This window comes from Homo sapiens, chromosome 15 (genome assembly GCF_000001405.40).
Source record: "Homo sapiens chromosome 15, GRCh38.p14 Primary Assembly".
In the NCBI taxonomy this organism is placed as follows: domain Eukaryota; kingdom Metazoa; phylum Chordata; class Mammalia; order Primates; family Hominidae; genus Homo; species Homo sapiens.
The window spans coordinates 42,067,009-42,094,899 of NC_000015.10; the positions used below are offsets into that span (position 1 = coordinate 42,067,009).

Genomic DNA, 27,891 nt, shown 5'->3' on the forward strand with positions numbered 1-27,891 from the left:
TCAATTCCCATATCACTGTTAAAAAAATAAGAGTCCATGATAAAGGGAAAAAGTGAAGAATCAAAATAAAGCCAAATGCAGAAGAGGCACAGGGAAGGAAGCTGAGAGAGGACATCAGATGAGGGCAGTCCCTGAGCCAAGGTCTGTCCCGAAGCTCTCACTACAACCCCCACCTGGGGCCAGGTGTGTGTGTGTGTGTATGTGTACACGCACCCTTGCATGAGGGAGGTAAGAAATGTGCTAGCAGCTGGCCGTGGTGGCTCACACCAGTAATCCCAGCACTTTGGGAGGCTGAGGCAGGAGGATTGCTTGAGTTCAGGAGTTCAAGACCAGCCTGGGCAACATGGTGAGACCTCATCTCTACAAAAAACCATTTTTTTAATTTAGCCAAGTATGGTGTTACATGCCTGTAGTCCCAGCTACTTGGGAGGCTGAAGTGGAAGGATCACTTGAGCCCAGGAAGTTGAGGATGCAGTGAGCCAGATTGCACCATTGAACTTGGCCTGGGTGACAGAGTGTGATGAGATTCTGTCTCAAAAAAAAAAAAAAAGAAAGAAAAAGAAAAAGAAATGTGCCAGCAATAAACAAAAAGGTTTATATACCATAATCAAATGGAAACTGCCCCAGGAATGCAAAGTTGGTTTAATATCCAAAAACCAATTAATGCAATAGAGTACATTAATAAAATACACGACAAAACCACATGATCATGCCCATAGACACAGAAAAATCACTTGACAAAACCTAACACCGTTTCATCATAAAACACTCAATAAACTAGAAATAAAAGAGAACTTTCTCAACCTGATAAGGATGTCCAAGAAAAACCCACAGCTAAAATCACACTAAATGGTGAGAGACTTATGCTTTCTTGTCAGAGTCAGGAACAAGACAAGATGTCTGCTCTTGAAACGTGTGTTCATCATTGTACTGCTCAGGGCAATTGGGAAAAATAAATAAAAGGCATTCAGATCAGACAGGAAGAAGTAAAACCATCTCTATTTGGAGATGGCATGATCTGTCTACAGAAAATTCTAAGAAATCCGCAAAAGTATTAGAGCCGGTAAACAACTTCAGCAAGATTGCGGAATACAAGATCAACATTTAAAAATCCATTGTATTTCTATAAAATAGCAATGAATAATCTAAATGAAATTAAGAAAGTAACTCCACTTATCAAAAAGAATAAAATATTTAGGAATAAATTTAAACAAGTACAAGACTTGGATACGGAAAGCAGGAGGACAAAGAGGAGAAGGACAAGGAGAGGAGGAGGTGGAGGAGCAGGAAGAAGATGAGGAGGCAATGTGTTCAGGATGTCTTGTGATTCCCGAGGCCTGAAGCCACCTGTCAGGTCAGGCATCCCCTGTCCTTCCTGTCCCTACTCCTGATCTGCTGCCTCCGGCTTGCACTTCAAATCTATCCTGCTCAGGCATGGAAGTAATTGTGGTGTGAAAGTCTGTCTGGTTGGACCAGCTGTTCTACACACTGGCCTGGCGAAGTTATTTTCAACTCATCTCAAGCCAGCCATGAACGTAAGAGAGAAGTCTGTGTGTGCAGTTCCCTCTGGGCAGTGAGACCAGCTACAGAGGCCACCCAGGCCTGGGAGAGCCCAGAACTCCAACCAGGAAGGCCTGTGGCTGAGCCCAGCTACAGATCAGGTTATGCCCGCAGGCCCTGGAGGGTCCTGCAGCCTCTGAGCAACCTCAGGTCTGTGCCCTTGGAGGCCTCGCCTCTAGAGTCCGGTGCTTCAGCGCGGTCCTCAGGGCCTGCAGGATGGCACCCTGGCTGGTCTGCACGTTGTAGTCACTGAGCCGCAGCAGGCGCTCGAAGTCTTCCTCCTTGTAGGTCATGTTGGACAGGGTGTAGGGGCAGGTGGCCCCGGTGAGATCCACTTGGCCACCCTGGAGCTCTGCGGGGCTGCGCTGGACACCTGCCCAGGGGTAGGAGGGGTGTCAGGAGCAGGACGCCGGGGCTTCTACAGCCTGGCAGCGGCGCACAGGGAGGGCTGCCCCCGCTGGAGGGGCCCCTGCTTTCCTCCCAGCTCTCTGTGTCCTTTGCCCAGGAATGTAAATGTGGGTGGCAGGGTGCTCTTTGGATGGGTACTATTTGGTGGTAGAAAATACAATTTCATATTTCATTGCCTTGTGGCGTGACACCCCTTAGGCTATTCAGGCAGCCCCACATGTCTCTACATCGCTTCGAGGCAAGGTGGAAACAGCCAGAAGGGGGAAGTCAACTGGGTTTGCGAATGGATTCTTAGAACTCACGGTGGAAGCAAGGGGGCAGCGAGAACTTGCTGAGAGATGAAGGTTCTTTAGAATTCTCAGATGTGGGCTGAGCATGTTCAGAGGAAAGCTGGGAGATCTAGAATGATGGTAGGAACTGGAAAGCTGGGAATATCGCACAAAGGCAGCAATGAGTTTTTCCCACCAGAAGGAAATAAAATTCTGACCAGTTGGTGAGAAGAGAAGATAGGAAGGAATGTGATGGGGGTTTAAATTTCGGGAGCCCCTGAGGAGAGGCCCAGCTCCCTGAGAAGGGGCCCAGCCTGGGCTGGGGAAGGATGGTGGAGAGGCCAAGTGAGTCCCCCACAGAGCAGGAGAGCAGAGGAGCCCTGGGCAGCTGGGGGTACTAGGGCAAGTGGAAGGCTGCAGGAGCCCGGCATCATGACAAAGGGGACCCCTGCATAGCGACCCTGCAAACAGAGGGCCTGCAGGGATGTGGGCATCAGCAAGGAGGCCAGGGTGGGCTCCAAGGCCTGAGTGGGCCTGGATGGGCCTAGCCTGAAGCCTTCTCCTGGCAGACTCATTTCCCTTCCCTCTGCTGGGCAGCCGGGGGGCCCAGGGCAGGCCTCTGAGGGGCCAGGCAGCCTGGGTGCTTGGGAGGGGCTGCCTCACCGGGGGCTGAGTGGTCCTTGAAGGAGGCATTGACCAGCGGGAAGTGCAGCAGGATCGGGGCCTCGGGGCAGGCGGGGTCTGAGAAGAGGTGGCATTCCCTTGGCTGGTGCTGGTCCTGAGGGCTGGGTTCCACCCGGGGGAAGGGCAGCCCCCGGGCCCGGCAGTACAGCTCCGTCTGCTGCAGTGCCTGGTGGGGAGAAGGTGGCCCGGAGAGAACCAGCCCGGCCCAGGTCAATGCTGGGCCAGTTCCAGCCCACACCAGCTGCTTCAGTGTCAAGACAACAGCCTGGCTCTGTCCTGTTTGTGGTCGGGCCAAGCTGCAGAGTGACTCGGAGGGAGACCCAGGGGGAGTCCAAGGACTCTGGTGGTCTGCAATGTTGTTTGGTTAAAAGCTCTAGGTGGGGTCAGACCCATCCCCCAGCCCCCCAAAACCCCAATTCTGGATTGCTATTGCTGGACTGTTCAAATCCCAGAGCCGAGAGGAGACCCACATTGGCACAGCGTCTCAGGGGAGGTCTGGGGGATGGACATGGAGATGCTAGGGTCTCCTCTCAGCTCCGTCCAGCTGTTCTTTGGAGTAGGTGTGGGGAGGTCCCTCCCTGTTCACCTGTCCTGGGAGCCCAAGGCCCCTGCACCACCCCAGCCTTCCCACCTAAGGACCCTGGCAGGAGCCAGCAGATCAAGGCCTGACACCTCTCCTTCCCTTCGGGACCCCGGCGGTGTGGGGCAGGGGCTCAGTGGCCCTGCTGCTCGCCTCTGGAGCTTGGCCTGGCTGGGCAGAGGGGTTCCCCTGGGGTGACCAGGGTACCTCGAAGGGCGCAGATAGGGAGTAGTCGAAGGAGAGGATGAGGTCCAGCCTGCGGCCTGGCCGGAACATGGAGGGAGAGCTGGTGTTGATGAAGTAGGCGGCGTCCACCAGGCAGAGCCGGGGCTCCTTGGGGGTCAGCTGGCTGGGCATGGAGTCAAGCTGGTAGTCTGGTGGGAATCGCAGGATGGTCAGAGGCCACCACCCTGCCACAGGTCATCCATGTCCCCTTCTCTCCTCTGGGTCACTCCTTAAATGCCACCCAGCCCTTCCCCAGGACCTTCCAAGGGGATCGTCTCCAGGCCACACCCCAGAAGTGGATGCTGACCTCCTAGGCCTCAGCCAGTCCCTGCCACACCACCCAGAGGCCCAACCTTGTGACCTAGGGACCCCTGGCCACGGCCCTGACCTGCCCAGGTGGAGAAGTCTTTGTGGCTACAGTAGTCCTGGTGCAGCTGGAGGCCCTGGAGGAAGTTGGGGCTGCGCTGGTGGAGGGGCCTGCCTGTCAGGAAGCCTTTAAATGCCTGGGCCAGCGCCGTGCCTGGCTGCAGCCACGAGGCCTCCAGCCGCGAGGAGGTCCCCGAGGTGGTCAGGGGCTCCTTCTCTGAAGCCAGAGAAACAGAAATTGGTCCCTTCTTCCCCTTACTTCTTCCCCTCAGACACCGCACACCGCAAGCATTCTAAAGGAACAGCGTCATCCCAGGCCCCTCAGTGCCCCTGCCCTTCCCACCTAAGCTCCTGGTCTTGTCCTTGATGTGCTGTTTCCAGGACTCCCCAGAACTGGTGAGGTCATACCAGGCATCCAGCAGGTTCAGGGAGAAAATGTTGCTCCAGATGGCTGAGGAACACCAAAAGAGATCAGCCTCAGGCCCCAGCCAGCGGCCCCACCCTCAGGTACTGATGGAAAATGGGAGTGGGGCGAGGGCTACCCCTACAATGCATCCCCCCCGCCACCCCTCCCCCTTGTCCTGAGGTTCTGCCCCACCTGAGCTACAGGACCCATGTCCATTCAGACACCTGGCCCAGGGCTGCCCAGGGCCTTCAGAGCCACCACCCTCACCTTCCAGAAAGCAGATCCGGGGCTCCGGGATCCTCCTCATCAGCCGTCCCATGAAGAACTCGGAGCCGAAGAGCTCAGGAGGGACGAAGGCCCCGTACTTCAGGAAACCGACCTCATAGGGGGAGAACTCAACCCACTCTAATGGGGTGGGAAGGAGAGGCAGGAGTGTGAGGGGAGTGGATTGCGGGAGTCCCCAGCTCTGGCGAAAGACACTGCCCCTGCCCCCAGCAGGCCTGAGCCCTGCTGTGCCTGGCACCAATGCAGCAGATGTGAGGAATGGGCAGTCCTGGACTGACCACACCCCTCCCAGCCCTTGGTCCACACCCTCAAGCACTACCCACTCTCAAGCACAGAGAGATGCCCTGAGCCCCTCAGCACCACTGCCCTTCCGGAACATTGGGCAATCTGTGCGGAGCTTCCAGCATGAATTCTCTGGGGGCTGTCGGGGTGCAGAGGGTTTGGGGGGTGGAGTATGTGGGAGGGGAGTAGGTAGAACTGTACCCTTGAAGTCCAGTGTCTCCAGATTGTTCTCTTTGACATTGAGGCTCAAGTAGAGGGGCAGAGGGTTCTGACCCCGTTCCAGGGCGGCTCTCTGTCCTGACAGCTTCTGATCCATCACCTGGGGCCAGAGGGCATCAGGGCCTAAGTGAGGCTGGGAGTACCCTGGAGGCAGTGGCTCCGCCAGGACAGGGGCAGGATGGGGGACCTGGCTGGGGGTGAGGAGGCAGCTCCTCCCGTGGGGTCTGGGGACCATATGTGGGTCAGTTCCCACTCCTGCCCCTGTGTTCTGAACAGCCCTAGATGCAGGGTCGCTGGACAGGGCATGCAGGCTGTGTACTATGAATCTCCAGCGAGGGCCATTCATAGGGACCACAATGCCAGCGGTGCTTCCAGGCCCATCTTCGTGGATTTAAGGGTGAAGTGGGTGTGGATACTGACACACAGACACAAGGACACATGCACACATCCACGTATTGCTTTGTAGAAAGGATGCAGCAATGCCCTTTTAGCATATACTGCAACCTATGCCAGGGGATGGACTGCCCCCTCTTCTAGGTTCACCTTAATGCAGTTCAAGTTTCAGCTCCTCCCGAATGCTTTCCTGACATCCTTGCCTCCCCCTCATCGTCCCTCTTCTTTCTTGCTTTGCATAACATGAGGTTGTACCCCATTGATTATTCTTGCCTTCTGTTCTTAATTTCCTCCTCAATAGAGCTCCAAGCTCTGCCTTTGTTTTATTTTATTTTGAGACAGGGTCTCACTCTGTCACCCAGGCTGGAGTGCAGTGGTGCAATCTTGGATCACTGCAACCTCCACCTCCCAGGCCCAAGTGATCCTCCCACCTCAGCCTCCCGAGTAGAGTAGCTGGGACTACAAGTTACACTTGGCTAATTTTTGCATGTTTTGTAGAGATGGAGTTACATCATGTTGCCCAGGCTGGTCTCAAATTCCTGAGCTCAAGCAATCCACCTGCCTTGGCGTCCCAAAGTGCTGGGATTACAGGCGTGAGGCACCATGCCTGGCCCAAGCTCTTTGATGGCAACGACTATAGCTTGCCTTTTGGGGGAGCCTCCACAGAGCCTCCCTGAATTGTAAGGGAACAGAAAGGCCTCATTCTATGCTGAGCTAGAATTGCAAATAGAGCTCTTCCCAAGCACCAGCAAGGCGAATGGTGGTGCCTGCCTGGAGCACCACCTTGGGAAGGATTCTGCCGCCAGAGCTGAGGTTGATGCTGTCAGCCCTGGGCTGTTTCTACTGGGCAGTATGTGTACCATGAATACGTCATCCTTCCTTTGGGCTCTCCAAGATGGAAGAGTGTCTAGTTCTAGAGGCTCCCAACCTGCCGCAGCAGCCCTTATCATCAGAGTGACTCAGTGAATGTGTACACGTGAGAGCATGTGAAGCATGCGGACTTCTGGGTCTCCCCTGAGAATCAGCCTGTCAGAAGTCACTTTGGAGTTTGCCTTTTAAAAACCCTCAGATGATCCTGATGCCCAGCCAGGTGTGAGGATTCCTACCCAGCCTACCCAAGGAGGGTCCCTCTCCCACATCCATGGCGAAACTCAACACACCCAGTGTGTGTGTCCTCCTTGCTGGCAGCTCTTCTGTCCCTGACGAGAACACTCATGTGTCAACCACAGTCATCCTTCCACCCCATTTTCCAATGGTCCCCAGTATGAATTACAGGGAATTTGCAGGAAATCTCTAAATAGGGCTCGATCCCCTGCCACTGATGGTGGTGGTGTACGTACGAGTCAGTCCTTAGGTACAAATGTGTGTACGTGACCCCTTCTCAAAATCTTTTTATTTAGAAACTCTGTTGCTCTTTTGATACATATGACTAGGGAAAATGTGTCCTTTTACTATAGTTGCACAATTTATGCCCTAGGGAAAGTTCTGGAAAAAGGTCAGCACACCCCTCCATCTACTGAAACCCACCCGGTATATCTAATGGCTCACCAGTAAGCTGCGGCAGGACTCTCAGTCTCTAACCCCCCAGTTTCCAAGCAAGTAACCCCAACCCTGCAGAACACCATTCTGATGATTCGAGGGTCCCATGGGAAACACTGGAGCTTGGTGCAGTACCGGCAATGCAGACTAAAGGGAAGGAAAGTGTGTCAGCTCTTAACTCAGGAAAGGATAAGAGAACCACTCTGAGTTTCTCCTTGAGGAATGATAAGCAGCTTCTAAGCAGTTCAGTACTTGCCAGCAAAAGACTGAAGAAAAAAGTTTCGAAGAGATGAGAGTTTGAGAAGCACTGATTATAGCTAGTGTATTTTACGAGCGGGTTTTTATAAAAACCTAATCAATATTAAAGATGTATGTAGACTAATAAAGTCATTCTGAGCAAAGTTTCAGGGTATGATATTTATTAATATTAATGAAATTGTGATTGGTCATAAATGGAGTTATATATTCTGACATTGTAAGTGATTTTTGGTATTTTAGATTATTACATTATAGAGGTAATAAATACCTGTTTTTATCTAAAGTCTTTAAAAAATTAGAAATTGACACTAAAATTGCCCGAAGAAAACATTATTTTGTAAAGTCTACAATGAATGTTGGCTTTAAGAGGTAAGGTATGATAATCAGAAGAAAAAAATAATAAATTAAAAACCTTTCATATTGGGACAAAATTTTAAAAATAGCATAGGTGCTTTTGTTGAGACAGAGTCTCACTCTAAAGCCCAGGTTGGAATGCAGTGGGGTGATTACAACTCACTGCAGCCTCAACCTCCCATGTTCAAGCTATCCTCCCACATTAGCCTCCTCAGTAGCTGGGACTACAGGTGTGCACCACCATGCCCAGCTAATTTTTTAACTTTTTGTAGAGATGGGGTCTCACTATGTTGTCCAGGTTCATTTTTAAGAATATATAGGTGTCTAATAATACCACAAGCATTTCTATTTTTGTGAACAATTAAAAAATGTCTTCTAAAAAATGTCTATAAAGCTTGCACATAAAACCGTGCATTAAGTCATTACTGGAGTATCCAATGGTAATTAAATAAAAGTCTGCTTTACAGCCTAGGATCAAACTGCGTTTTCTAGCACCTTGTAAAGTGAACTGTTAAAACAGCTTCTCCCATTCTGTAGTAACTAATTGCTGCCACTCAGCAGGAAAGTCAGTTATTAAAACACAACACCATCAAAACTGAATATGAACTTAAACAGTAGATCCAAAGACTACATAGCACATAGTAATAAAATGAAAATATTTCTAGTAATTAAGTTGGCTTCATAAATTCAATGCCATTTCAATAAAAATCCCAACAACATTTATTGCAAAACATGACTAGGTGATTCTATCATATAATTACAACAGCAGGCCAGTCATAGTGGCTCACACCTGTAATCCCAGCACTTTGGGAGGCTGAGGCAGGCAGATCACTCAAGGCCAGGAGTTCAAGGCAAGCCTGGCCAAAGCAGTGAAACACCATCTCTACTAAAAATACAAAAATTCGCCGTGCATGGTGGTGCATGCCTGTAGTCGCAGGTATGCGGCAGGCTGAGGCACAAGAATCACTTGAACCCAGGAGGCAGAGGTTGCAGTGAGCCGATATTGTGCCACTGCACTCCAGCCTGGGTGACAGAGCAAGACTCTGAGGAAAGGAAGGGAGGGAGGGAGGGAGAGGGGAGGGGAGGGGAGGGGAGGGGAGAGGAAGAAGGAAGGAAGGAAGGAAGGAAGGAAACAGCAAAGGGTCAAGTACAGCCAAGAGAATTCTGAAGAACAATTCAAGTGGACTGGTAACTTGGCCTATCAGATACCAAGATTTATCACAAAACTTTAGTCAGTGTGCTGTTGGCATAGGGATAGAGAATCTGTCCTGTTGGAACAGAATAGGGCACTCAGGAAGAGTCACAGGAATATAAATACATGAAAAATATATGAAACCTGATACATGACAGAATTAGCAATGCAGATCAGTGGAGAAAAAATTCAATAGATGAGACTGGGAAAATTTGTTATTAATGTGAGAAAAAACAAAATTGGATCCCTATCCACATGATACCTGGAGATAAATTCTGGGTGGATTAAAGTCCTATTAGTAAGAAATAAATCTTTAAAAATTTTATAAGAATGTATAGGAAGATATTTTATAACTTTGGGGGAGTGAAAAGGAAGACTCCCCAAAACACAAACCATAAAGGAGAATGATAAATTAGATTATATTGAAATTATGCATTAAAACCATTAGAACTGGTAAGGATTCACATCGAGAATACATAAAGAATTCCTACAAAACAATATGAAAAAGACAAATTAAACAGGAAAATGGAAAGGGGTTTGAATAGGTAATTCATGGAAGAGGAAGCCCAAATGATAAATATACTTAAAAACATCAACTGTCTAACTAAAAATCAAAGAAATGCAAAACTATGATAAATGTTCCTTTCACACCCCATAGTTAAACAAAACTTTAAAAGTCTGCCCAAGATATAGAGAAAAAAGCAACTATTATACACTGGTAGTGGGAGTGTGAATTAACACAACTCCTTTGGAGAATGGTTTGGCAATACCTAGGAAAGTTGAAGGTGCACAAACCCAGTGGCCCAACAATTTAACTACTGGGTATGTATCTTGGAGGCTTAGAGAATCTTTAATGCAGGTGTGCAAGGAGACTTGTACAAAATTGTTCATGCAAATAATATCATATTTTTCTTAAGGATATATATGTGAAAATATTGTGAACTGGAAAACCTAGAAGAAACAGATAAATTCCTGGACACATTCAACCTACCAAGATTGAACCATGAAGAAACAGAAAAGCTGAACAGAACAATAACAAGCAATGAGATTGAAGCAGTAATAAAATATCACCCATCAAAGAAAAGTCAAGGACCTGATGGCTTCACTGCTGAATTCCACCAAACATTTAAAGAACTAATACCAATTCTACTCAAACTATTCCAAAAAATTGAAGAGGAGGGAATACTTCCAAAGTCATTATCCAAGGCCAGAACTACATTGATACAAAAGCCAGATAAGGACACAAACAAAAAAAGAAAGCTACAGGCCAAGATCCCTGATGAACATAAATGCAAAAGTTCTCGACAAAATACTATCATACGAAATTCAGCAACACATCAAAAAGATTATTCACCATTGATCAAGTGGAATTCATCCCAGGAACGCAAGGATGGTTCAACATACACAAATCAATAAATGTGATACATCACATCAACAGATATAGTTGGGATCAGTGCCCTGGTTACATAATCAAAAATGCCTTCCCAAGTCTCACCTCATTCTTACCTCTCCTAGGACCTTTGTTAGCTATTTTGTTATTACTAATCTTTGGCCCTTGTTTGATTAACCTCTTAGTAAAGTTTGTGTCTTTTAGATTACAATAGTTCCAGGTAAAGACAATGCTGGCACAAGGCTTCCAATCCATCCTGCCTACTGACCAGGAGAATTAAAATGTTCTGCCTATGGGCCCCTTAGATCAGGTATCCAGAGATTTTTACTCCTCTGTTGCTTGGCCAGGGCCTACGCCCATAACATAAGCAGGAAGCAGTTACAGAAGACAGATTTCTACCCTTCTGCAGCCCTGTTAAGATTAAGGAGGAGTGTCTAATCTCTGAGACAGGAATGAGGTAGGAGGCAGGGCTTGACTCGAACTAGATTGGAGACTGGCTGAAACAGGGAAGGGCTGAAAGCACCTCTCTGTAAGGCATGCTCACCAGTATCATGACAGTTTACTCATTCCCTGGCAACAACCTGGAAGTTACGACCTTTTTCTAGAAATTTCTGAATAATCTACTCCTTAATTTGCATGTAATTAAAAATGGGTATAAATGTGACTGTGGAACTGTCCCTGAGCTGCTGCTCTGGACACACTGCTGATGGGTGGCCCTGCTCTGCAGGAGCAGTCACAGAGCTGTAACACTGTGCCCTTGATAAAGCTATTTTTTCTACCACCAGCTAACACTTGAATTTCTTCCTGGGGGACACCAAGAATCTCCATGGGTGGAACCCCAGTTTTGAGGCTCCCTTGCCCTGCAACATGATGATAAACCTAAATTCAGGATGTTGTTTGCCCCTGGGGCAGGAGTGAAATGAGACTGGGGAGGGTATACAAAGGGCTTTAACTGTATCTGTAACATTTCATTTCATAGGCTGGTTGGTAAGTTCATGCATATTCATTATGTCATTATGCTTTATTCAATGTCTTAGGTGTGAAGATTTTCATAATAAATAATAAAGATTGAGATTTGCATAATGAATATGTATAGCTAATAACAAATAAGGATGGTAGTTTCTAAGCAGTGTTGTACTTAACCGGTAAGAATAATATTTAAAGAAAAAAGTTGAAGGCAAATTCATTTTTGGTTAGTTTACACGATAATCATTCTTTTCAAATTCCTTCTATATAAATTTATTTTTATACCCATTAACGAATTTTTCTTCCTCCCCTCCCATGATAATCATACTTGATTAAACCCCTGACCCAAAGATAAAGATGAGTCCTTCTGCTACTAATATATTCCATACTTTGTCTTTTCATTGTTTCAAACGCTTTTGAAGCTTTGTTCAGATAGTTATGTGTGGTAAAACAACAGCGTGAAAAAATAGCTGATTTTAATAATTGTATCTGTGTAAAGTTCAGCAGTTAACTTACTAAGCTTTCTCTCAAGCAGCATTGTAATTTTTTTAAAAAATGTATGTTTAGTTTTGTCTTGATGCTGTTAGAATACTAAAGAAATATAATAGCTGACATTTAATGCTTATTCTATGGTGAGGTATCACTGAGTATTCAGAACAGCTCTATGACTTAAGAACTATTCTTATCCCCATTGTACAGATCAGAAAATGGAGACACAGAGAGGTTAAGTAACTTGCCTAAGGACACACAGCTAGTAAGAGGTACTGGTGTTAGAACCCAGGCAATCTGGTTACAGAGTTTGTGCTTTTAACAGCACCCTGAAGATGAAGAAGAACAGTAAATTTCATATTGCAGGATAAATAAAAACGGTTCTAGCAATCTTACCCATTCAAAACAAAAGCTTTGTTTGCTTAACTGACTTTGACATCGACTCATTCCCAGCTTTTGGGAGATCCAGAAATTTCTGTTTTACAGCAATTAATTAAAGAATCTGCTAACTCAGAAAGGCAGCATTCCAAAGTGAGGCAGACACTAAAACACTGGCTCTTCCACGCTGCAAGAAATACGCACGCGCATGTCAGCCGCTTGGGAGCCCTGCCTTCGCCCCCGCGGTGCACACACGCGTCTCCCCCACGTGCGCAGGCGCCCTACCTGGCCGTGCAGCATGGACTCCAGCACTAGCGCCCACAGGTCCACAAAGGTCGTGGGGTGGCCCTGCTCAGCCCGCAGCTCCAGCTCCCGGCGGTAGCTCGCCAGGCGCTCTGGGGAAAAGACCTCCAGCTTGCTCTTGGCCAGGTGCTCCCGGGCGTATCTGATAGGTCCCTCCAGGTCCCTCTGCGACCACTCAGGGTCCCCGTACAGGTGGGCCATTGTCCTGGAAGAACGAGGGGACAGAACAGTAGGAGCCCGAGGCCCAGCATGGGGCGCTGCAACTCCTGCTTCCCACTCGGCAGCTTCTCCTGACACGTGGCTCCTGCCACCAAGGCTCTGCCGATCTGGTAAATGGGTCTCAGGGCTTTCTCTCCTTCTAGATCAGCGCTGTCCAATATTAATACGATGTGAGCCACACACGGAATTTTAAATTTCCTAGTAACCACATTAAAAAGATATACAAGCCTGTAAAAATTAATTTTAATATTTTATTTAATTCGCTATATTCAAAAATATCATTTCAACAAGTAGTAAATACAGTTATTGATGTAATTTCTATTTTTTTCAAACTAAGTCTTCCAAATTCACTGTGTATTTATAACACATCTCAATGTGGACTGGCTGCATTTCAAATGGTCAATAAACAATGTGGCTAGTGGCTACCATAGTGGCTTACTGTACTGGACAGCCCAGTTCTGGACCCCACTCCCATCTTCACGGTCCTGTCCTGAAGCCTTTTCACACTCTGCTTGTCAACAGCTGTCACCTAAACTCCTCTGAGGCGTTTCCTCTTCTTTTACTCCTCAAAGTCGCATTTCAATAAGACTCAAAGGAATGAATCTCTAACAGCGGGATGCTGCACCTCGTCATGCTGCGGGGTGAGGGCGTAGGGAGGTAATGCTAGCTTTAGGTAGAAATAGTATCTCGACCTCAATGTCTACACAGTCTTAAATGGACAATAAGGGAATCTACCTCGAGTGTGGTGAAGATTAAATGCAATAATAACAATGAAAGATAAAAAGAGCTACCAATTAGGAATTCCTGGCTGTGCTGGGCATTAAGTTAAGTGCTTTACTTGGGTGATCCCCACACCCCAGTCCCACGCGGTGTGTGCTAGGATTGTCCGTTTGGAGCTGCATCAACTGAGAATCAGAGGAGATAAGTTGCTCAGTGTCAGCCAGCCAGTAAGTGGTGCTGCCAGGACTCAAATCCAGCTGCATCTGAGTCAGCTACCTCACAGCCTTTCAGTAACATCTGGAATGCACCTCCTGCGCCGCCTCGCTCACGGCAGGGCTTCTGTAAACGTCTGTTTCCTTCCTTGTGGGAAAGCTGCTTGGCGCCCATCAGATCACAATGATCACACCTACTTGGCCTCCCCACACAAAGTGTCCCTCTGGTGCCCACTCTGCCCCGCTATGGCCCCTGATTGTCTCTGCCACCCAGTCCCCCAGGATCCTCACCACGTAGAGCCAGAGATGCCACTGAAGTAGGTCACACAGTCTAGGAGGCCCAGCTTCTGCAAGGCCAATAGGTGGCCGTAGAGTGAGGTCATGGCCCGGGCACCTCCTCCTGTGGCCATGATGCCCACAACGGGTACCTGGACCACACACAGACAGGCTGGATTAACAAGGAAAGGGGCCAGCTGCCTCCTGTCTCACCCAGGGCCCTGCCCCGCTCCTTGTCTCCAGGGAAGGGACCGCATAGTTGGGTCCTGATAGAGTCAGGGTTAGAGCTGGGTCCAGCCCTCCTCTGGAAGCAATGGCTCTCAGCTCAGGATGGAGCTCCCAAGGGAGTTAGAACCACAAAGCCCACTCACGCTCCCATGTCTCCACACACATGCCCACTCTCCACTGACTGGAGTTTCTGGAGAGGCATAGGAATCAGGTACTCCCTTATGGCCCGTCCAGGATATCTGCACACACATCCCTCTGCACCCCCAGACCTCATCCTCCTGCAGGTCTCTGTCCAGCTGCAGGGCCTGCTTCAGGGCCTTGGCCACCACCTGCTTCCTCCTGCTCAGGAAGGCCTGCTCCTCTGCACAGAGATTGAAGCCCAGGTGCACGGCCAGCTCCTCAGGGCTGTGGCAATGGAGGATCCAGGGGTCAGGGGACACCTGCATAGCTCAGCCACTGGCTGGCCAAGCCCACAATGAGCTGCCAAAGAAGCCCTCTCCTCCAATCTCAAGGACCACCTTTGTCCATAGCCCTCCCCTCCTGCATGCCCGCCTCTCACTGTCCCCACAGATGTGAATGTCCCTTACCAGCCCTCTGCCTTGAGCTGCAGCCTCACTCCTGGGGCCTGAAATCAAAGCCAGAGACTCTGCTCAGACCCTCCTAGACCCTAAGCGGCACATGGGTATCCCTGGGGACTTGGTCCCCTTCATCTTCATTCTTTTTTTTTTTTTTTTTTTTTGAGACAGAGTTTCACTCTTGTTGCTCAGGCTGGAGTGCAATGGTGCGATCTTGGCTCAATGCAACCTCCGCCTCCTGGGTTCAGGTGATTCTCCTGCCTCAGCCTCCTGAGTAGCTGGGATTACAGGTGTGCGCCACCACACCCGGCTAATTTTTGCATTTTTAGTAGAGATGGGGTTTTGCCATGTTGGCCAGGCTGTTCTCAAACTCCTGACTTCAGGTGATCCGCCTGCCTTGGCCTCCCAAAGTGCTGGGATTACAGGCTTGAGCCACAGAGCCCAGCCTTATCTTCATTCTTACTGGCATTTCCCATCCAGTTGAGGCCACTTACATTTGGAGCAGGAACATCCATAGTCACCTCCTTCCCAATGGTCAAGGGCCTCAGGGGCACAGTGAGGTACCCAGCTGAGTTGTCCCCATTCCAGCCATTGCTTCTGGAGCTCTGAAGGGAAAGCATCATTCATTCATTCATTCATTCATTCAACAAATCCCTACTAAGTATCTAGACTACAATCCAGACAGACACATTCTCCCTGATAATACAGAATATTATAATATTGATAAGTATCATAATTATAATTATAAAATTATAAGAGCTAATATTTATGTAGTACGAAGGCATTGTTCTCACGGAATAGCATGTATAAATTTATAAAGACATGGGTAATGAACTGATGTTAGTAAGTGTTGTGAAGGAAATAAGTGGTGTGATATGACAGTTTCTAATGCAACCAAAGGTGGAGTGCGTGGGGTTTATTTGAGGTGGGGGTCAAGGAGGACCCTCTGAAGAGCCACCATTTGAGCTAAGATGTTGAGGAGGAGGAGGAGGAGGCAGCCTTGGAGGAAGCCAGCTGGGGACAGGAGAGCACTTGGCATATTGGAAATGAGAGAGGAGACAAGGATGGCTGAGGCATCGTGCATGGGGGGAGTGTGGAACAAAATGAGGCGGCAGAGGTGGACGGGTGCCAGGCTGTGCAGGGCCATGTGGGCACAGATGTCATGTCTTATTCTAAGGGTATCACTGGAGGGGCCGCTGGAGGATTCAGAGACTGATATGGTGCAGCAGCCCCATGCCCGCTCTGGCCACTGGTGGTCCTCTGTGTCTGCCAAGAGTGAGGTGCCTAACTAGGGGAGGCTGACAAGGCCACAGGGGCCTTGGCCCTGGTGGGCAGGGAAGGCAGGGAGGGGCCCGCTGCAGCTGGAGCTGCCCAAGCCTAGGATTGCAAACGAGGTCTAGAGCCAAGACCCACCCTCAGGCGCCCGCTCAGCTCTGTCTCTAGGGCTGCCATGTAGTGGAAGCGGAAGGCAGAGGCTGTGCCCAGGAAGGATGTCTGTGTGTCCTCATAGGACCCCTTCAGCACCAGCTCCAGCTCCAGCTTGTCCTGATCTAGGGAGAGAGTAGGCGGGTTAGCATGAGAACAAGAGCCCGGAACCCCAGCTCGGACCTGGGACAGCAGCACCACCACCTGGATTCAGAGGATGCCTGGGAGGCTGGGCCATCGTCAACAGCATTCTGAAAAGGGCCCTTCCCAGCCCAAGGGGCCCCACAACCCCCCATCCCGGACTCCTGCCTTCTGCAACATGCTCTCCCCCAGGTCAGGGGACCCTCCTGCCCAGCGGAGATGCGTGGCCCTCTGTGCCATGTGGGTGAGAAGAGAGAGGCAAGCTCTACCCTGCTGCTGGCCTCCTGCCCTGCGCAGGCTTCCCAGCAATCCTCCTCACCCCCACATCCAGGCAGAGTCCAGGCCTGGTTCTAAGCTGGTCTCACCTGCAACCACAGCGGTGCTCCCTGTGCTGTCCAGATGCACATCCAGGCATGACAGCTCTCGGGCCTGGGGAAGACCACATCATGGGCAGGGGCCTCTGCAGGGTAAGCTGAGGTCCCCTTAACCTCAACCCTCTGAGACCCACTGTCCCAAATCCACCACACACACAAGGAGTTGTGTGGGCTCAGGATGGGATTGGCTGCAGAGGCCCTTCATCCCATTGCCGATCCTCTGCCGCGGCTGAACCTGATATTCCGCAGCAGCCAGGAGGGCCCTGGCTCCACACCTCCCCTCCAGCTCCCCTGGCTTTGCCAAACTCCCGAAACCTCCTAGAGCGCCCAGCCCTCAGACACAGCTGTTTCTTCTCTTGTTTCCCTGTGGCTTGGAGCTGGAGGAGGTATTCTACCACAACTCCAAATAATCTAAGCAAGCCGCCCATCCATAGGAGGGTAGACGGGGCGTCGGACAAACCCTCAGAACGTCTCCTGGCTGTCCTCTGTGGCCTAACTGGGGGACAATGACAAGGCCAGGCCCCCGTGGCCTTGCCAAGGGAGCCTCTGCATGCTGTCTGTGAAGCATACCAGCAGATGCCCGCCACCCACGCTCCACACAATCACTGAATTTGCCCACCTGCTGTGTGTCTCCATCACCTCCTAAGAGGCAGTGCCATCGGCTTGACTTTATTTTCATGTGTATTTTTAAAAGTAATACCCGTCCATCAAACAGCCCCTAGGAGCTTAAATGCTGGGCTCTAGGTGCCTTCGCCCGTGACCCTGGACCCGCCTGCTCCCAGGTCTGTGCTGCTGGTCTGGGTCACTGTGATAATCGAGCGCGTCGCCCGCTCGCCACCTTGCGGCCATTTCTGTCCACTGCAGCTTCGTGAGCCCGTGGTCAGGAGCGCTGACCAGGACTCTCCCCAGTCCCAAGGAGGAGCTAGCTGCCTGAGCCTCTGATCCTCCTAGGTTGGCAGTACACCGCCCTGGGAACTCCCTCTGAGCCTCGGTGACCTCAACGTGAACAACCGGAAGGTGGGCCTGGCCTACCTGATTTCTTCACCGCTTCCCAGGGAAGCACTCAGTCAATCCCTAGAACTATGAGTTCACCGCAGGTGACTAAACACCTTCCGGAAGCACCCCGAACAGCCGTGGGCCAGAACCTCCTCTCAGCAGAGCCCTGCCTCCCCTCTCTCTATGCGCCCCTTAGCTCCAGGCCCCTCCAAGACCCACAGCCACAGGTGACCACCTGGCTGGAAGGCTAGGGGTGGTTTTACCACGAAGCCCTGCCCCTTCCTTGTCCCTGCTGGTCCACACCCCAGGCAGCTGCCCTCCCTCCCCAAGCGTCTGCTCTGGGGCCCCTCCCCTAAGCCTGGGGAAGGTGCTTACCACAATGACTTTGTTGGTGATGAGGTTTTCTGGGCGATCTGACCTGGAAAAATCAAACCATGCAAAGGCAAACGCTTCCTGCATTGACCTCCCGCTCCCGCCCATGTGGGGTCTCCCTGGGTGATGCTGAGGGCTCTGTAAGTCCTGGATTCGGTTCAGGGACAAGGGGAGATGCTTTGCAGGAGGAGAGGGGAGGGGAGAGAGCAGAGAGAGAAAACATCGGCCTTCCTCTCTGTGTTTCCCTAAGAGAAGCCCCGCCCCACTCCCGACCTCTCTGGCAGGGGTAGGAGATGAGGGACAGTCAGGCTGGACTGACCACAGGGAGATCTGGGTCAGGGCCATTTCCTCAGAGCCTGAGTCCTGAGACACTCCCTGGGCTGTGTGACATTACTCACGTTTCTTCCATCAGGAACTCCACATCCAGCTCCTCCTCTCCCTGAAATCAGAGAGCATGAGCAAGTCATCAGCACATACCTGTGTCTTCAGAGTTGACACAGTTCTTTTACAGGTGTCATCTCATCCTCTCAAGCGGTCTCCAAGGGAGGCACGTTAGTACAATTATTTCCAATTTATGGATGAGGAAACTGAGGTATGGGGCCAGATGGGCTACCTGCCCACATTGCCCACAGCTAGTAAGTCTGCAGAGAACAGGTCTCCCTCCCTTGGAGGTCCCACAACTCTGGGCAAGACTGAAGGGGAAGACAAGGAGCACAGCCAAAGGAGGCATGATGTGCAGGACCCATATCTTTTTCTTGAGGAGGGCCCAGACCCCCGAACTCTGCCGTCCCCACCCCCAGGCTGCAGCAGGAAGGGACGTGAGGCCTTCACAAAGCAGGCCTTGGCACCACCAGCAGGAGTGATGGATGCTGAGCTGTGTTTTGAGGGGTGGCCTTCCTGCCACAGGTGGCTAAAATTCCTCCACTGGGTGATTCAGCCTGTAACTGTAAAGTGAAGCCTTTTCCTTGCTTATTAAAATGCAAATCTAAAAAGGGGTTTAGATTTTTCTGTGAATGAGTTCACCCCAGCAGCCTCCCAACAGGTGGGAGAAATAGCTACTTCCTCAGCTTGGAGTTGGAAGAAGTGGGGCCCACGGGGACTTCCCCACCCACCCACCCACCTGGGGACTCTGGGAGAAGGTTTTCCGGAGCAGCTTGCCAGGGAGGACTTCTGAGATGTCATAGAGAACCTTGAAGCAGATGTCATCCTCCGTGACTGAGTCCTCATCATAGATGCTAAGCTCCAGAACATTCTAGGAACCAGGAACAGCGACTTAGCATTTTACCTGCTCATAGTGAGAGTAGCTCACCTCTGTTGAGCCCTTACTTGATGTCTAGAGTCAGAGAAGATCATTATGCCACCACACGTCTGCGCTTCAAAATAAAAAAAAAAACTGTAAAACTTAAATATAAGGAAATCTTATTAAATTTCAAATTTCCTCCTTCTAATTTTTGTTTTTATCAAACATAAAATTCTGAGCTGGGCATGGTGGCTCATGCCTGTTATCCAGCACTTTGGGAGGCTGAGGTGGGTGGGTCACCTGATGTCGAGAGTTCGAGACCAGCCTGGCCAACATGGTGAAACCCCATCTCTACTAAAAATACAACAAATTATCTGGACATGGTGGTGGGTGCCTGTAATCCCAGCTACTCGGGAGGCTGAGGCAGGCGAATCGCTTGAACCTGGGAGGCGGAGGTTGCAGTGAGCCCAGTTCGCGCCATTCAACTCCAACCTGGGCAATAAGAGCAAGACTCTGTCTCAAAAACAAAACAAAACACATAAAAGTCTGTCAAATAATTCCCTCTTCCTCTCTCCCTGTCTGTGTGTCTCTCTCTCCCTGGCTTTTCTGGCTCCCTGAGGTGCACCCTAAGGTATGTGCTGGTGATCTTTCACGGTCTTCCACGCATTATCTCATCTCACCCCACAGTGACCTGATCAGGAGGGGGCTCTTACTGTCTCTGTTTCATAGCTGGGCTTCGAGAGGAACCCAGCTTGTGGGAGTCAGTCCCACAGCCAGTTGGTGAAAGGACCATGTTCATTCTTTCATACATTCCCTTGCACACAGCACAGACAGGCCAGGGCACAGAGACCCCCTACTGCTGAGAGTTTCTCTGACAGCCCCAGAGGAAGCATGCTCTACCCCAGGAACCCTTGCATGGGGGTCCAGCCCGTTCACAAGGGAGTGGCCAGGAGTCCCGGGCCTTCACCTTGACCTGACTTTGGATAAGGAAACGGAAGGCCTCATTCCACACAGGATGACTGGTGTCGGTGAGCGTCTTGGTCTTAAACTTCATTCCAGGTGCGGTCGACAGCTGTAGGATCACGTAAGGGTCGGCCTCACTCACTGCCAAGGTTAAGGAAGTCTTCGTGAGGGAGTACTCCCCACACCCCTCTCCATGAGCCATGCCAGTTTCCTACCAAGACCCTGGCGGTCACCGCAGGTGACCCAGCCCAGCCCCAGGGCACTCGTCTTGGCCCTTCCTATGGGATCTGGTCCTCCCTGCTCCCGACAGAGCGCACAGGGCGGTTACTCACACAGGTCAGCCCAGCGCAGGTTCCGCGCCTCCAGGACCCTCACTGTGAGCTGCCAGCAGGTAGAGGCCTCCCCCTGAAGAGAAAATCAAACTCCAGAGTCCTTCCTGCATTCCCTCCCTTATGCCTGGAGCTGCAGCCCGGGCTGCCGACACCCCTCACCACTCTCCTGGTACTTGGTGGTGCTGACACCCCTGCCAGGCGTTCCGGGGACACCCTCTGGGGACCAAAGAGCCTTTGTCCACTTCTGTTTTGGGGGTCATGGTTCTGGGCTGCAGCAGTCAGGGAATAGCAGCACACCCAGATGTGGAATTTGTGGAACCCCTTCCCCTTCGGGAACAGAGCAACATGGGTAGTGGACAGAGCAAGGAAGTGAGGGCCAAGGAGTGGCAACCACAGAGGTCAGTTAGATGTCAGCCATTCCCAGAGCTCCCAGGGAGGGCAGCCCTTTGGCAAAACAAGGGTTACCTTTGGTGACCCTGCTGCCAGCACTGCCCACCCCTCAGCCCTTCCGGACGGGAAGCAGGCATATGACTTAAGGGAGGGTGAGCCTCAGCAGCCCAGTCCACAGGCGCTACCCTGGATCTCAGCTATCTGCACTGTAAGGGGTATGAATGAGGAAACTCCAAGAGCATCCAGCCATCACAGGGAGCAGTGGGTGCTGTGGGTGAAAGGCCACTGTGTATTAAGATGCTGATGAGGCCACATCAGCCACAGACAGCCCAGGTGTGAGGGAGAAGCAGCTGAGTGGGCAGAAGCTGGAGGAGAAGATGAGCCGAGAGTAGGTGGCAGGAGGGAAAGCAGATGGCCAGAGGGGCGTGGCTGAGGCCTGCTGGGGTCAGAGCACTGGGGGTGTCCCCACACCCTACTGCTGAGGTCCCCGGCACTGCCACGATCAGGAGGGCCCTGGAGTTTCTGTTCTTCCTGAGCCCTGCAGCACGGCTTTTTCTGGGCATCTGGCACAGGTTTCTTATAAGCCCCTTTGATGTGAGGTTACTCAAATCGGTTTGGCAGGGCAAATGGCATTTTTTCCTGTGGGCTGACCCCAAGGAAGGCTGTTGGCCTTGCATCCTCTTGGAAGGGAGCCTTCCCAGGAGGACCACCTATGAGGCACGTGGCCCCAGCAGAAAGAGCCCATGTCCAGAGGGTCTGTTAGAACAGGGGCTGTCAGGAAGGAACACTGCCTGTGCCGGGGAGTGGGGCAGTGGGAGCCCCAGCCAGGAGGGGATCCTGCAGGGCCACAGCATGGCAGGACCCCCAGGAGGCACCAAGCACATGAAGGCCTATGAAATGCTAACCCCAGGAGCCATGCAGTGTGGCGGCCCTGCTGAACAACCCAGAGACCACCTTCATTCCAGAAAAAAACCCGTGCTGGGGCTTCTGCCATTCAGCGGCTCTGCCACCAGGTTAGACTCCCCATTAAGTAAGTACGATCTTCTCAGACCCTATGTCCCTTCACCCGCTCCTCCCCGACCCTGAGGGAGCCAAAAGCCAGTGCAGTGTTTGCACAGTGAACATTTGATATCGCATAGCTGGGAGACTGTTGTGATAAAACCAGAGGTGTTTCCTGCTTTGCGCTCTCCCGTGACCAGACCCACTTCCATGCATGTGGTTGGAAGTTCTCGGTGCCCACAAGGACTCGTACCCGCTCTGCACAGATGCTGCTTGCTAGGGGCTGGCTCAGCACCCACGGGGACCTGAATCTCCACTCCCCACCAAAAACTGTAAAGGACCATGGGCCACAGCAAAGCCATATGCCTGGTGGCCCTGCCCCTGCATCTTTCCTCTCTGTGGTTCCATGCCAACGTCCTATCATTCCAGGCAGCTTCCCAGCAGAGCACATGTGACCTCCCCGAGCAAGGTAGATTTGTTTCTCTCTTCTTGGGGATTAACTCCAGTGGCACCAGCAACATGTCAACTCTATAAACCTTAAGCCTTATAGAGGTTGTCAGCAGCAGAGATTTCATGAACTTTGGGACATCTAGCTCCATTTCCTCCCCTCACTCAGATTCCACCACTGCCGGCCACAGGGAGGTGATGGCTGGGATGCTGGGGCCCTGCAGGGTATTGAGTTTGAATGTCCCGCTCCAAGACAAGACAGGTGAAGGGCAGAGGCAGCCCAGCCTCGCTCCCCTGCTCCCCCGGCCAGGCTGATACTCCACAGGTCCACAGCTTGTGGGCTGCTCTAAAGTCACTTGGGCTACTGAGAAGTGGCCCCAGTTACTCACTGTCTAGCCAGTCACCATCCCGGGTTTAAGCACTGTGGTTCATTTCTCCCTCCCATCACTGAGAGCTTCTCAACCTCAGAAAGCCCACCATTCCCCGGCAGGTTATTTTCCCTAGAGAAAAATCCCGATTCTCTTCACCTCTAAGATCATCGCTAACATGGAGTGCCCAGAACATGGTATTATTGGGACAGTGATTACAATGACTGGTCTTTACGGGGGCTTAAAGGCAGACTCTGGAGCCAGGTTGTCTGGATTTAAACCCTGGCCCTGCCACTTACTTGCTGTGTGACCTTGGACAAGTCACTAAACTTCTCTGTGCCTCTGTTTCCTCATGTGTAGTGGAAATAATAGTTTTGACCTCACATAGTATTCTGAGGCTTAAAATGTTAATGCCTGCAGACTGCTTAGGAATAAAGTAAGCAGTTTTTAGGTAACTGCTATTGCTACTACTGTTTATTAAGTATTTGCCATGTTTTCAGGCACTGTGAATGTTGCAGATACCAGGATGAAATCACTTTTGTCAGACCCCGACAAATTAGGGCTGGGAACGCATGAAAGAGCAGAGCTCGTATTTACATGTCTGAGATGAGAGTTGTTTCCAAGGACTTCCTACAAACCCCACAGAAAACAGCTTCACATCCTTCATGCCAAAGTCCCTCTTTGACAGGAAGAGGGAAATGAGCAGACCCGCCCTGTTCCCTGCTAGCACCGGTGCCCTGTGGTGGGGTAATGCAGGAGGTCAGAGAGAAGAGGAGTGGAACACCTGGGCACAGCCCCTGGTCCTGGGGACTCAGTCCTGTGAATGCCGGCTGGAGGTGAGGCAGTTTCCAGTTGTGGGGCAGACTCAGGCTCCCAAATCGCTGACACTTAGGCTTTTGTTTTACCTGGGAGCTAGACCTAGAGGAGGCTGAGGGAAAAGGGGGAAGGGGTACAGCCTTCGCCAGGGAGATGAGTTGACAAGGTTCATCACTAGACATCCATTAGGACTGCAATAATTCAGATAAGATGCTCTCAGAAAACACGTGCCCAGTAACAGCATCTCCACCAATGAACTGACAACTCTGGCTTTGAGCTCTGGAACCAATGAACTCTGTTTCCAAGCAGTTTCTGTGAGCCTCCCCCTTTTTTCCAGTAAAAGCTTCCCTTTCCCCTTCCCTCACAATTGCCCTGGCGGCCTGTCATTCGACACATTCCGAGCCACAGTCATTTCTCATTCCAGAGTAAACACAACATAGAGATCATTTTCTCTCGTGTCTTTCTGTAGGGTGACAATACTGTACTAACCATATTACCTACCGTGTGGGTGGCAAGCCACCCAGGCGCCGAGGCAAGAGACCGAGGATACAAGCTGTTCCAGTATAATAAAATATAAAACAAGAATAGTTATACCAGATATAGATCTTAGATACGATTATATATGAATATCATTAATCATTAGTTTGTAGCAATTACTCTTCAGTCCAATATTATAATAATCCTCGCTCTATAATCATAACCTAGGAAAAACCAGGCCATACAGAGATAGGAGCTGAGGGGACACAGTGAGAAGTGACCAGAAGACAAGAGTGCGAGCCTTCTGTTATGCCCAGACAGGGCCACCAGAAGGGCTCCTTGGTCTAGCGGTGACGCCAGCGTCTGGGAAGATGCCTGTTGCCAGGCGGACCATGGTCTAGCGGTAGCGAAAAGTGTCAAGGAAAAACATCTGCTACTTAGCAGACCGGGAAAGGGAGTCTCCCTTTCCCCGGGGGAGTTAGAGAAGACTCTACTCCTCCACCTCTCGTGGAGGGCCTGACGTTAGGCTCGCCCGCAGTTACCTGGAGGCCTAACCATCTCCCTGTGATGCTGTGCTTCAGTAGTCACGCTCCTAGTCTGCCTTCATGTTCCATCCTGTACACCTGGCTCTGCCTTCTAGATAGCAGTAGTCAATTAGTGAAAGTACTAATAGTCTCTGATATGCAGAAATAATGGCGTAAGCTGTCTTTCTCTTTGTCTCCTCTCTCTCTCTGCCTCGGCTACCAGGCAGGGAAGGGCCCCCTGTCCAGTGGACACGTGACCCACGTGACCTTACCTATCATTGAAGATGACTCACACTCTCTACCCTGCCCCTTTTGCTTTGTATCCAATAAACAACAGCACAGCCAGACATTCAGGGCCACTACCGGTCTCCGCGCATTGGTGGCAGTGGTCCCCCGGGCCCAGCTGCCTTTTCTTTTATCTCTTTGTCTTGTGTCTTTATTTCTAAACTCTCTCGTCACCGCACACGGGGAGAGACCCACCGACCCTGTGGGGCTGGTCCCTACACTACTGTAACTTTATTTATCCTCCCACAGCTTCAAAAGACAGTACTCCCATTTCCTCCCATTTTCTACATGAGGGAATTGAGGCTCAGAGAGGCTAACTTGCCCAAGGTCACAGAGTTAGCAGGGACAGAGTTAGAATTCAAACTTCCAGGCCAGAGCTCACAACCCCCGTCTATTCTACCTTCCCAGGACTTTTGCTTCTTTGGAAAAGCATGCAACTCTTCCCTCATTGCCCCACGGATATCTAGGATATCTAGACACTAGATTTTCATAGATTTGTCTAATTTGACTAACAGATATTCATAGATTTGTCACAGATTTGACTAATATGATTACTGAGATAACCGACACTTTAACTGATATGAATCTTTTCCCCTGAGGGCATAGGGGCGTCACATTCCCTTCTGAAAGCTCCTCCCATCTGAAATACCTCCTTAATTGATGACTAACCCGGAGGCTTCTGGAGGAAATTCGTCAGCCCAGTCACCTGTAGGATCCCCCGAATGCCTCCCTGCTGAGGGTCTCAGCCACTCTGAACCTTGCGCAGGGACCCCAGAGGCTCTGGGCCATCCTTCTTCCGGTGGAGAGGCCCAGGGCACACGTTTGCCAGGAAGTTTTGTGAGAGGCTCTGTGCTGCCCCGTGCCCATCTTGGGAGATGTGGCCCAAGAGAGCTTAAGGGGGTTGGGTCTCCCCAGCTGGGGTCCAGAGTATCCTTGCCCGTGATCCTGGGTGTTCGGCAGGAAGAGAGAAATGAGCAGACCCACCCTGTCGTCTGCTGGCACTGGCGCCCTGTGGTGGGGCAATGCAGGAGGTCAGAGAGAAGAGGAGTGGAACCCCTGGGCACAGCCCCAGGCCCTGCACCTCCCTCAGGCTGGGCTGAGTCTCCTGGACCACACGGCAGGCACGTTCCAGAACAGGTCCCGGATGGCCAGCCTAGCCTGCTGGCCCAGGTCCCGCTCTGGGGCAGGTTCCAGGCCCCTGTTCCAGCAGAAATGAGGCTAGGCTAAACCGCTGCTGAAGCTTGCCAACCACAGGAACCGACTTGAAGGCTGGAGCTTGAGGACCTGGTCCTGGGGACTCAGTCCTGTGAATGCCAGCTGGAGGCGAGGTGCTTTCCAGGTGTGGGGCCGACTGAGGCTCCCAAATTGCTGACACTTAGGCTTTTGTTTTACCCAGGAGCTAGACCTAGAGCAGGCTGAGGGAAAAGGGGAAAGGGGCACAGCCTTCGCCAGGGAGATGAGTTTAAAGGGGGAAATATTCCAGAAGCCTCCACAATGGGCCGTTCTGGGCTCAGGGCTCCTGATGGGACGGGTGGTGGAGCCAGGGCCGCCAGCCCCTCCACTGGCCTGCATCCGTGGACTCCCCCGCATCCAAATGTCCGCTGATGTCTGACTCGTGGGTGGATCCACCTGACCTCAGGCTGGGGCAACAGTGTGGTCCTTCACTGAGGGGTCCCTCTCATCTTCCCCCAGGGCTCCTTAGTGTCTGCCCTGCCCCAGGCTGAGCCTCTTCCAGGAGCACCAGTCTGGAGCTGCTTGTCTGGATCCAGCTTGGGCCTGGGTCTCAGGGCCACAGCTCTAGAAGCCCAGCGAGGTCTGCATATGAGGCAAAGGACCTCAGGACAGTGACCTTGACACACTTAGCCTCATTCCTGGCCACCACCTGGGGCACCGGGGGGAGACCTCAGGAGCCAGCTCTGCTGGCCTTGGTCCCTGGCAGAGGATGAAAACTCTGGGCTTTGGAGAAACACATGACAGAGGGTGGGGGGGTGGCGAGAAGTTTGCAGGCCTCCTTGGCCTGGATGCAGCCCCACAGCTCTTGGGCCTACTAAATACTTGGCAGTGGATGGGGATTTGGGCCCCCAGAGCTCTGGAGACACACAGGGTGATCCCAGGGCTCCAGCCAGTTCTGGGAAGTCTGCCGGCCTGTGGTGGTGGGGCTGTGGGCCTGGTGGGTCTCCTTTTGTGACACACCCAGCCACTATGTTCTCCGATGATGGTGGGGGAGAGGTCCCTAAGGACACTGCTGTGGTCGCTGGTGGTGGGGAGAGGAAGCTCTGCTGACCAGACTCACGTTTCCCAGCCCCCGCATCTACGGATGCTGCTCACCCACCCCACCCACTCTGCATCCCAAATCTCAGACTCCCTCGCCCTCTGGCCCAGTCTGAAATCACCCTGATTCCAGCTATCACACTTCCCAGAATGCACCCTGGCTCCAGGCCTGCCCTGACTGGTGCCCACATGCTCTGCAGACACTGTTACCTGGTAAGGGTGGCCAGGTGGTCCCCCAGGTGACAGGCTCTCCATGCTAGCCCTTCCAGCTTCACTCCAGGCCCAGCCCTTGCCAAGATGCTGGCTCTCTGGCTGAGTGGCAGCGACGGTCCCAGTGGGATAGGACCAGCATGAATCTGCCAGCCTTCAATGAGCCACGATCCTATAAACAGGTTGGGGCTCCACCCCCAGGTCGCTCCTTCAGCCCTGCACCTGCCCCTCTTCCCCAAGAGGCTGGGTCAACCAGCATCTCCAGAAACCTCTGGCAGGGCTCCAGGACCTGCAGGCGGAGCACCTCTTCCAGACCTGGAGTTTCAGGACAGAAGATGCAGCCAGGGGGAGGCAGACGAGTCCCAGGAGTGGTGGCAGGAAGCTGGTTCCCCTGAGGCTGAGGGCAGAGGATGGGGTGGGGGTAGAGCTGAGGAAACCCCCAGCTCCACTGGAGCCAGGGCCAGCCTCTAGAGGAGGAGGGCTGA

General features: G+C 51.6%; 1 protein-coding gene across 2 annotated transcripts, besides 8 other annotated features; it reads right to left on the minus strand.

Annotated features, from left to right (window-relative positions):
• Positions 1–27,554, minus strand: PLA2G4D (phospholipase A2 group IVD). Of its 2 annotated transcripts, none has more exons than NM_178034.4 (20): positions 27,407–27,554; positions 20,620–20,692; positions 20,292–20,428; positions 19,205–19,336; positions 18,483–18,523; positions 18,088–18,130; positions 16,708–16,771; positions 16,190–16,326; positions 15,271–15,381; positions 14,789–14,826; positions 14,471–14,606; positions 13,989–14,125; positions 12,529–12,751; positions 5,267–5,384; positions 4,766–4,903; positions 4,436–4,543; positions 4,115–4,309; positions 3,709–3,875; positions 2,901–3,087; positions 1–1,933 (listed from the first exon to the last, which is right to left on the minus strand). In NM_178034.4, the coding sequence occupies exons 1-20, from the start codon at positions 27,449–27,451 to the stop codon at positions 1,707–1,709; spliced, it is 2,457 nt and encodes an 818-aa protein (NP_828848.3). In that variant the 5' UTR covers positions 27,452–27,554; the 3' UTR covers positions 1–1,706. The 2 variants fall into 2 exon arrangements, with proteins under 2 accessions (NP_828848.3, XP_047288355.1); XM_047432399.1 differs by lacking the exon at positions 1–1,933 and adding an exon at positions 2,298–2,393.
• Positions 13,720–14,268: an enhancer, noted in NCBI's record as "H3K4me1 hESC enhancer chr15:42372926-42373474 (GRCh37/hg19 assembly coordinates)". NCBI's record gives its function as "activates a minimal SCP1, AML or CMV promoter by ChIP-STARR-seq in naive H9 embryonic stem cells {active_cell/tissue: H9 hESC(naive)}" and the evidence as "EXISTENCE:reporter gene assay evidence [ECO:0000049][PMID:30033119]".
• Positions 14,269–14,816: an enhancer, noted in NCBI's record as "H3K4me1 hESC enhancer chr15:42373475-42374022 (GRCh37/hg19 assembly coordinates)". NCBI's record gives its function as "activates a minimal SCP1, AML or CMV promoter by ChIP-STARR-seq in naive H9 embryonic stem cells {active_cell/tissue: H9 hESC(naive)}" and the evidence as "EXISTENCE:reporter gene assay evidence [ECO:0000049][PMID:30033119]".
• Positions 16,639–17,254: an enhancer, noted in NCBI's record as "H3K4me1 hESC enhancer chr15:42375845-42376460 (GRCh37/hg19 assembly coordinates)". NCBI's record gives its function as "activates a minimal SCP1, AML or CMV promoter by ChIP-STARR-seq in primed H9 embryonic stem cells {active_cell/tissue: H9 hESC(primed)}" and the evidence as "EXISTENCE:reporter gene assay evidence [ECO:0000049][PMID:30033119]".
• Positions 16,639–18,398: a biological region, named in NCBI's record as "CDK7 strongly-dependent group 2 enhancer GRCh37_chr15:42376405-42377604".
• Positions 17,199–18,398: an enhancer, noted in NCBI's record as "CDK7 strongly-dependent group 2 enhancer chr15:42376405-42377604 (GRCh37/hg19 assembly coordinates)". NCBI's record gives its function as "activates an origin of replication core promoter dependent on BRD2, BRD4, P300/CBP, MED14 and CDK7 cofactors, with strong dependence on CDK7, by STARR-seq in HCT116 cells {active_cell/tissue: HCT116}" and the evidence as "EXISTENCE:reporter gene assay evidence [ECO:0000049][PMID:35650434]".
• Positions 17,423–17,717: a silencer, noted in NCBI's record as "tiled region #5534; HepG2 Repressive DNase unmatched - State 4:PromP". NCBI's record gives its function as "represses a minimal TATA promoter and a strong SV40 promoter by Sharpr-MPRA in HepG2 cells {active_cell/tissue: HepG2}" and the evidence as "EXISTENCE:reporter gene assay evidence [ECO:0000049][PMID:27701403]".
• Positions 24,430–25,404: an enhancer, noted in NCBI's record as "H3K27ac-H3K4me1 hESC enhancer chr15:42383636-42384610 (GRCh37/hg19 assembly coordinates)". NCBI's record gives its function as "activates a minimal SCP1, AML or CMV promoter by ChIP-STARR-seq in primed H9 embryonic stem cells {active_cell/tissue: H9 hESC(primed)}" and the evidence as "EXISTENCE:reporter gene assay evidence [ECO:0000049][PMID:30033119]".
• Positions 26,379–27,353: an enhancer, noted in NCBI's record as "H3K27ac-H3K4me1 hESC enhancer chr15:42385585-42386559 (GRCh37/hg19 assembly coordinates)". NCBI's record gives its function as "activates a minimal SCP1, AML or CMV promoter by ChIP-STARR-seq in primed H9 embryonic stem cells {active_cell/tissue: H9 hESC(primed)}" and the evidence as "EXISTENCE:reporter gene assay evidence [ECO:0000049][PMID:30033119]".
• Positions 27,555–27,891: the final 337 nt, after the last annotated feature.

What these genes read in the sequence shown, in the direction of transcription:
- PLA2G4D (NM_178034.4), bottom strand. Translation starts at nt 27,451, where the DNA reads ATGGAGAGCCTGTCACCTGGGGGACCACCTGGCCACCCTTACCAG. An exon ending in CACCTGGCCACCCTTACCAG is followed by an intron (nt 20,693 to 27,406) that starts GTAACAGTGTCT and finishes TTTTCTCTTCAG; the next exon opens with GGGGAGGCCTCTACCTGCTG. An exon ending in GAGACCTGCAGGAGGATGAG is followed by an intron (nt 14,126 to 14,470) that starts GTCTGGGGGTGC and finishes TGTGTGGTCCAG; the next exon opens with GTACCCGTTGTGGGCATCAT.